General features: G+C 38.8%; 1 annotated feature.

Moving 5' to 3' along the window:
• Positions 3758-4258: an enhancer, noted in NCBI's record as "H3K4me1 hESC enhancer chr13:81936645-81937145 (GRCh37/hg19 assembly coordinates)". NCBI's record gives its function as "activates a minimal SCP1, AML or CMV promoter by ChIP-STARR-seq in naive H9 embryonic stem cells {active_cell/tissue: H9 hESC(naive)}" and the evidence as "EXISTENCE:reporter gene assay evidence [ECO:0000049][PMID:30033119]".

Consider the following 9315-nt stretch of genomic DNA (forward strand, 5'->3'; position numbering starts at 1 on the left):
TGGAATATTTGTCAGCAGTGAGAAAGAACAAATTACCACTTTGCAGGGATAATATTTTGCTTGTGCAAAAATATGATAGACTCTCACAAATATAATGTTAAGCAAAAGAAACCAGGTATTAAAAAGTGCATACTGTATGATAGTGATTTTTACAAAGTTTAAATATAGGCAAACAAATATATGATATTAGAAATCAATTGGGGCTTGGCATGGTGACTCACGCCTGTAATCCCAGCACTTTGGGAGGCCGAGGTGGGTGGATCACTTGCGGTCAGGAGTTCCAGGCCAGCCTGGCCAGCATGGTGAAACCTTGCCTCTCTTAAAAATACAAAAATTAGATGGGTATGGTGGTTGGCGCCTGTAATCCCAGCTACTCGGGTGGAGAATCGCTTGGACCCAGGAGGTGGAGGTTGCAGTGAGCCAAGATCATGCCACGGCACTTCAGCCTAGGCGACAGACAGAAACTCCATCAAAAAAAAAAAAAGTCAATTGGCAGAAGAACTGGAAGTCGATGACATGGACATATAGGAAAATTCTGGGATTCTGGGGTGCCAAAATAATATTTGGGAGCATTCTATTTATTGGTTTATTTTTATTATTATATAATAGTTGTACATATTTTGGGGGTACATAGAGTGTTTTGATACATTCATACAATACATAAAGATCAAACCAAGGGAATTGAAACATCCATCGCCCCAAATATTCACCCCTTCTTTATGTTGGGAACATTCTAAAGCCTCTGATCCAGCAATTTCGCACTATACAATGAATTATTGTTAACTATAGTCACCTCTTCTATGCTCTTGAGTGCTAGGTCTTATTCCTTCTATCTAATTTTATGTTTGTATTTATTAATCAACCTCTCCTCATTTCCCCCTCTTCCCTACCCTTGGCAGCTTCTAGTAGTCATCAATCAGCTCTTTATCTTTATGAGATCCACTTTATTCAGCTCCCAGATATAAGTGAGAATATGTGGTGTATGCCTTTTCCTGCCTGGCTTATTTCACTTAACATAATGACCTCCAGTTCCATCCATGTTGTTGCAAATGTCAGATTTTTTTTCTTTTTCATGGCTGAATGATATTCTGTTGTGCATATGTACCGCATTTTCTTTATTCATCCAACCACTGATGGACTCAGGTTGATTCCATATCTTGGCTATTGTGAGTACTGTTGCAATAAACAGGGGAGTGCAGGTATCTCTTCAATACATGGATTTCCTTTCTTTCAGATGTATACCCAGGAGTGGGATTGCTGGATCATATGGTAGTTATACTTTTAGTTTTTTGAGAAACCTCCTTTCAGTATGGGAACATTTAGGGTTGTAAATAGTAAAGATTACAAGGTTCAAGAATATATTGGGAGCTGTTACTGTACCATAGGGTGATGTGAACATAGTCTATAGGAGCCAACTTGACGTTTGTGTGTCCAGATTGCCACGCTTAGTCCATCTGATGGATTTCAATCCATGGAAGGGGACTCTTGTCCTGGGATGTCATTAAAGTTCCTCTTCCATTCTGCTGGCATGGATTATTTGCATTGAATATCAGCAACTGTGTATGCCTGCTGCTTTGTTCCTGGGCCTTTGACTTTAAGGGTACAGAGCCCCCTCATAGTGTTAGGGAATTCATGAGGAAACTTGATTTCCTAAAATTTTAATTGAGTCATCTTCTGCCTGTAGAGAAGCAAAATGCCAGATACTTCTTTAATCTTTGCGTCACTTTACTACATGCCTCATGCTATTCTCTGCGGCACTTAGACTGAGCCCAGTTGTTCTTTGGAAACTTGTCAAAAAAAATGACTTTTTAAGAATGAGCTCAAGAATCTCATCATAAAATGAGATTTTAAAAGTAATCCTATTAGATTATGCTTAGGTATGTTTTACTAACAATAATTAATTTACCTATTGATATTTTAAAATTGTGTTATAATTTTATGTTTTAAAACACCACTTTTCTACATATTCTGCTTGATAACAAAAATGTCAGGTGTTTAAAATAAGTATCCTAAAGTTTTCAAGGCATGACTTTAGTTAAGAAATATAAAGCAAATTGGAATAATATATTTAAGCTATTTTGAAAGAGTCTTTACATTTTCTGTTATGTTTAATCTGACAGTAAATGTCAGCTGAGTTTCTGATGTTTCAAAGTATTAATTGGAAATTTATTTCAAACTTTCTCTATAAAAGTTTGACTATGGCATTATTTTTAATCTTTGGATTTTATTATCATTAATGAAGTTATGAATATGACCTATAACATTGAATAAAGGTATCCTAGCACAAATGAATCATTCCATAATTTCAAAACAACATGAAATGTACACAAAATGAAATAGTAAGCAAACATGCTGATTAAAAATGCATCAATACAAAATTTAAAGCCTGCATATTATTTTTGTTACTTGAAAGGAACAAATTGACTTTTTATTCTTGGAAAATAAGTATTCTCTAATATATTTGTTGAATAATAATCAATGTTAAATTCCTAAGTGTACTTGAGTCTCGTATGGTTAGATTTAGTATAAGGAAATAGAACTTGGAAAGGCATTTAGTAGACTAGAGGATGGTTAACAACACAGACTCTGGAGTTAAAATGTCAAAGATGAATCCTAGTTCCAGCATCACATTGGGTGCCTGAGTCTACAAATGAACAATTATTTCATAAAGCTTTTGTGAGGATTAAATAAATTAAAATACAGAGTGATAACAGTGTGTCTAGGGTATAAGAAGTGGTTAGTTGGCAGAACTGTTTTAGGAAACACTCTCCTACCCTTCTTAAACACTCTCCCCTATTATGACCCTTGGAAGATAATGGCTTAGTTCAAATTGATATTATATATAAAAAACTAATGAGTCTCTTGAAGCAAATTAAATGTGAAGTCAATATTCCATTTAAATAAATCTTAATGATGTATTTCAGAGAAGAAAAGATTCTGCTCTAATATCTCTAAGAAATCTGACCATTGACTCAATAGCTATTTTGTAATTTAGGGTATGCAGCAGTGTTAATTTTAATTTTTATAACTCTAGAAACATATGAGACTGTTAAAGCTTAATAAAATACTTCATTATAAGACTTCCATTTTAGCTGTTGAAGATTTCCTAAGTTTTTATAGGAGTATTTTCTATTAAACTATAGAAATGCCTGTGTAAGTCTTCAATACATATGAGTGTGAAGGGTGGAAATATATCATGAATGTCAAATATTAACATATTATGATAATTTTAACCTTTTTAAAGGATTTTTACTTCATTCTCCATTTACTAAACATGTTTAATCATATTTTGCTCTTTTGTTCTGGTCATTGTCACTATTGTCTGTATTAATCTTCTTATAAATGTTCTCAGCAGCAGTATTCAAACATGGTTTGCCACTCAGTCACAGAACCTGATATGCATTAGGAATAATCAGTACTCATCCTGCATCTAACCCAGAGTCTCTATTTATGAACATGTATTAAATCCAAGTATCATTTAATAAAGAAAATTGTCTCAATCCTGATTAAGATGGCCGAATAGGAGCCTCTCCAGTCTGCAGCTCCCAGCGAGATACATGCAGAAGGTGGGTGATTTCTGCATTTCCATCTCAATGGGACTGGTTGGACAGTGGGTGCAGCCCGCGGAGGGTGAGCCGAAGCAGGGTCGGGAGTTGCCTCACCCAGGAACTGCAAAAGGTCAGGGAATTTTCTCCCCTACCCAAGGGAAGCCATAAGGACTGAGCCTGAGGAACTGGGGACTCTGGCCCAGATACTGCATTTGTCCCACCATCTTCGCAACCCACAGACCAGGAGATTCCCTGCGGTGCCTATCCAACCAGGGCCCTCAGTTGCAAGCACAAAACTGGGTGGCCATTTAGGAAGACACTGAACTAGCTGCAGGAGTTTGTTTTTTTTTCCCCCCACATACCCCAGTGGCACCTGGAATGCCAGTGAGACAGAACTGTTTATTCCCCTGGAAAGGGGTGCTGAACCCAGGGAGCCAAGTGGTCTGGCTCCATGGGTACCACCCCCATGGAGCCCAGCAAACTAAGATTCACTGGCTTGAAATTCTTGCTGCCAGCACAGCAGCAGTCTGAGATCAACCTGGGAAGGTTGAGCTTGGTGGGGGGAGGGTGTCCACCATTGCTGAGGCTTGAGTAAGTGGTTTTATGCTCACAGTGTAAACAAAGCCACCAGGAGTTCGAACTGGGCGGAGCTCACCTCAGCTCAGCAAGGCTACTGTGGCCAGACTGCCAGATTTCTTCTCTCTGGGAAGGGCATCTCTGAAAAAAAGGCAGCAGCCCCAGTCAGGGACTTATAGATAAAACCCCCATCTACCTGGGACAGAGCACCTGGGGAAGGGGCAGCTGTGGGTGCAGCTTCAGCAGACTTAAACGTCTCTGCCTGATGGCTCTGAAGAGAGCAGCGGACTTCCCAGCACAGCGTTCAAGCTCTGCTAAGGGTCAGACTGTCTCCTCAAGTGGGTCCTTGACTCTCATGTGTCCTGACAGGGTGACACCTCCCAGTAGGGGCTGACAGACACATCATACAGGAGAGCTCTGCCTGGCATCTGGCAGATGACCCTCTGGGACAACGCTTCCAGAGGAAAGAACAGGCAGCAATCTTTGCTGTTCTGCAGATTCCACTGGTGATATCCAGGCAGACAGGGTCAGGAGTGGACCTCCAGCAAACTCCAGCAGATCTGCAGCAGAGGGGCCTGACTGTTAGAAGGAAAACTAACAAACAGAAAGAAATAGCAAGTCCACTCAAAGACCCCACCCGAAGGTCACCAACATCAAAGACCAAAGGTAGATAAATCCACAAAGATGGGGAGAAACCAGCACAAACAGGCTGAAAATTGCAAAAACCAGAATGCCTCTTCTCCTCCAAAGGATCACAACTCCCCACCAGCAAGAGAACAAAACTGAACGGAGAATGAGTTTGTTGAATTGACAGAAGTAGGCTTTAGAAGGTGGGTAATAACAAACTCCTCCTAGCTAAAGAAGCATGTTCTAACCCAATGCAAGGAAGCTAAGAACCTTGAAAAAAGGTTGGACAAATTGCTAACTAGAATAACAAGTTTAGAGAAGAACATAAATGACCTGATGGAGCTGAAAAACACAGCACGAGAACTTTGTGAAGCATACACAAGTATCAATAGCCAAATCGATCAAGTGGAAGAAAGGATATCGGTGATTGAATTTCAACTTAATGAAATAAAGTGAAAAGACAAGATTAGAGAAAAAAGAATAAAAATGAGCAAACAAAACCTCCAAGTAATATGGGACTATGTGAAAAGAGCAAATCTATGTTTGATTGGTGTACCTGAAAATGACAGGGAGAATGGAACCAAGTAGGAAAACACTCTTCAGGACATTATCCAGGAGAACTTCCCCAAACTAGCAAGGCAGGCCAACATTCAAATTCAGGAAATACAGACAAAAACCACAAAGATACTCCTTGAGAAGAGCAACCCCAAGACACATAATCGTCAGATTCAGCAAGGTTGAACTAAAGGAAAAAATGTTAAGGGCAGCCAGAGAGAAAGGTCGGGTTACCCACAAAGGGAAGCCCATCAGAATAACAGTGGATCTCTCTGCAGAAACCTTACAAGCCAGAAGAGAGTGGGGCCAATATTCAACATTCTTAAAGAAAAGAATTTTCTACCCGGAATTTCATATCCAGCCAAACTAAGCTTCATAAATGAAGGAGAAATAAAATCCTTTACAGACAAGCAAATGCTGAGAGATTTTGTCACCACCAGGCCTGCCTTACGAGAGTTCTTGAAGGAAGCACTAAACACTGAAAGGAACAACTTGTACCAGCCACTGCAAAAACATACCAAATTGTAAAGACTGTCAATAGTATGAATAAACTGCATCAACTAACAGGCAAAATAACCAGTTAGTATTATAATGACAGGATCAAATTCATACATAACAATATTAATCTTAAATGTAAATTGGCTAAATGCCCCAATTAAAAGACACAGACTGACAAACTGGATAAAGAGTCAAGACCCATTGTTGTGCTGCATTCAGGAGAGCCATCTAACGTGCAAAGACACACATAAGCTCAAAATGAATGGGTGGAGGAATATTTACCAAGCAAATGGAAAGAAAAAAAAGCAGGGCTTGCAATCCTAGTCTCTGATAAAACAGACTTTAAACCACAAAGATTAAAAAAAGACAAAGAAGGGCATTACATAATGGTAAAGGTATCAATGCAACAAGAAGAGCTAACTGTCCTAAATATATATGCACCCAATGCAGGAGGACCCAGATTCATAAAGCAAGTTCTTAGAGACTTAAAAAGAGAATTAGTCTCCCACACAATAACAGTGGGAGACTTTAACACCCTACTGTTAATATTAGACAGATCAACAAGACAGAAAATTAACAAGCATATACAGGACTTGAACTCAGCTCTGGACCAAGTGGACCTAATAGACATCTACAGAACTCTCCACCACAAATCAACAGAATATACATTCTTCTCAGCACCACATCACATTTATTCTAAAATAGACCTCATAATTGGAAGAAAATGCTCCTCAGCAAATGCAAAAGAATGGAAATCATTACAGTCTCTCAGATCACAGTGCAAAAAAATTAGAACTTAGGATTAAGAAACTCACTCAAGGCCGGGTGCAGTGGCTCACGTCTGTAATCCCAGAACTTTGGGAGGCTAAGGCGGGCAGATCACGAGCTCAGGAGATCAAGACCATCCTGTCTAACACAGTAAAACCCCATCTCTACTAAAAATATAAAAAATAGCTGGGTGTGGTGATGGGCGCCTGTAGTCGCAGCTACTTGGGAGGTTGAGGCGGGAGAATGGCATGAACCCAGGTGGCAGAGCTTGCAGTGAGCTGAGATCGCGCCACTGCACTCCAACCTGGGCAACAGAGCGAGACTGTCTTTGAAAAAAAAAAAAAAGGAAACTCACTCAAAACCACACAACTATATGGAAACTGAACAACCTACTCCTGAATGAGTACTGGGTAAATAATGAAATTAAGACAGAAATAAAGAAGTTTCTTGAAACCAATGAGAACAAAGACACAGCGTTCCAGATTCTCTGGGACACAGCTGAAGCAGTGTTTAGAGGGAAATTTATAGCACTAGATGCCCACAAGAGAAAGCAGGAAATATCTAAAACTGACACCCTAAAATCAAAATTAGAAGAACTAGCAAAGCAACAGAAACAAATTTGAAAGCTAGCAGAAGACAAGAAATAACTAAGATCAGAGAAGAACTGAAGGAGATAGAGACACAAAAAAACCCTTCAAAACATCAATGAATCCAGGAGCTGATTTTTTTGAAAAGATCAACAAAATAGATAAATCGCTAGTCAGACTAATAAAGAAGAAAAGAGAGAAGAATTAGATAGATGCAATAAAAAATTATATAGGGATATCACCACTGATCCCACAGAAATACAAACTACCATCAGAGAGTACTATAAACACCTCTATGCAAATAAACTGGAAAATCTAGAAGAAATGGATAAATTCCTGGACACATACACCCTCCCAAGACTAAAGCAGGAAGAAATCAAATCCCTAAATAAATAGATAACAAGTTCTGAAATTGAGGCAGTATTTAATAGCCTACCAACCAAAAACAGTCCAGGACCAGACAGATTCACAGCTGAATTCTACCAGAGGTACCAAGAGGAGCTGGTACCATTCCTTCTGAAATTATTCCAAACAATAGAAAAAGAGGGAATCCTCCCTAACTCATTTTATGAGGCCAGCATCATCCTGATAACAAAGCCTGGCAGAGACAAAACAAAAAAAGAAAGATTTCAGATAAATATCCCTGATGAACATCAATGCAAAAATCCTCAATAAAATACTGGTAAACTGAATCCAGCAGCACATCAAAAAGTGTATCCACCACAATCAAGTCGGCTTCATCCCTGGGATGCAAGGCTGTTTCAACATATGCAAATCAATAAACGTAATCCATCACATAAACAGAACCAACAACAAAAACCACATGATTATCTCAATAGATGCAAAAAAGGCCTTCGACAAAATTCAACAGCCCTTCATGCTAAAAACTCTCAATAAACTTGGTATCGATGGAATGTATCTCAAAATAATAAGAGCCATTTATGACAAACCGACAGCCAATATCATACTGACTGGGCAAAAACTGGAAGCATTCCCTTTGAAAACTGGCACAAGACAGGGATGCCCTCTCTCACCACTCATATTCAACATAGTATTGGAAGTTCTGGCCAGGGCAATCAGGCAAGAGAAAGAAATAAAGTGTATTCGAATAGGAGGAGAAGAAGTCAAGTTGTCTCTGTTTGCAGATGACATGATTGTATATTTAGAAAACCCCATCATCTCGGCCCAAAATCTCCTTAAGCTGATAAGCAACTTCATCAAAGTCTCAGGATACAAAATCAATGTGCAAAAATCACAAGCATTCCTGTACATCAAGAACAGACAGAAAGCCAAGTCATGAATGAATTCCAATTCACAACTGCTACTAAAAAAATAAAATACCTAGGAATACAACTTACAAGAGATGTGAAGGACTTCTTCAAGAGAACTACAAACCACTGCTCAAGGAAATAAGAGAGGACACAAGCAAATGGAAAAACATTCCATGCTCATGGATAGGAAGAATCAATATCATGAATATGCCCATATTGCCCAAAGTATTTTATAGATTTAATGCTATTCCCATAAAGCTACCATTGACTTTCTTCACAAAATTGGGAAAAACTACTTTTAAACTTCATATGGAACCAAAAAAGAGCCCACATAGCCAAGACAATCTTAAGCAAAAAGAACAAAGCTGGAAGCATCATGCTACCTGACCTCAAACTATACTACAAGGCTACAGTAACCAAAACAGCATGGTACTGGTACCAAAACAGATATATAAACCAATGGAACAGAACAGAGGTCTCAGGAATATCACTACACATCTACAACCATCTGATCTTTGACAAACCTGACACAAACAAGCAAAGCAGAAAAGATTCCCTACTTAATAAATGGTGTTGGGAAAATTGGCTAGCCATATGCAGAAAATTGAAACTGGACCCCGTCCTTACACCTTACACAAAAATCAACTCAGCATGGATTAAAGAGTTAAACATAAGACCTCAAACCATAAAAATCCTAAAAGAAAACCTGGGCAATACCATTGAGGACATAAGCATGGGCAAAGACTTCATGTCTAAAACACCAAAAGCAAAGGCAACAAAAGCCAAAATAGACAAATAGGATCTAATTAAACTAAAGAGCTTCTGCACAGCAAAATACACTATCATCAGAGTGAACAGGCAACCTACAGAATGGGAGAAAATTTT

The sequence above is a fragment of the Homo sapiens genome, chromosome 13 (assembly GCF_000001405.40).
Source record: "Homo sapiens chromosome 13, GRCh38.p14 Primary Assembly".
NCBI lineage: Eukaryota > Metazoa > Chordata > Mammalia > Primates > Hominidae > Homo > Homo sapiens.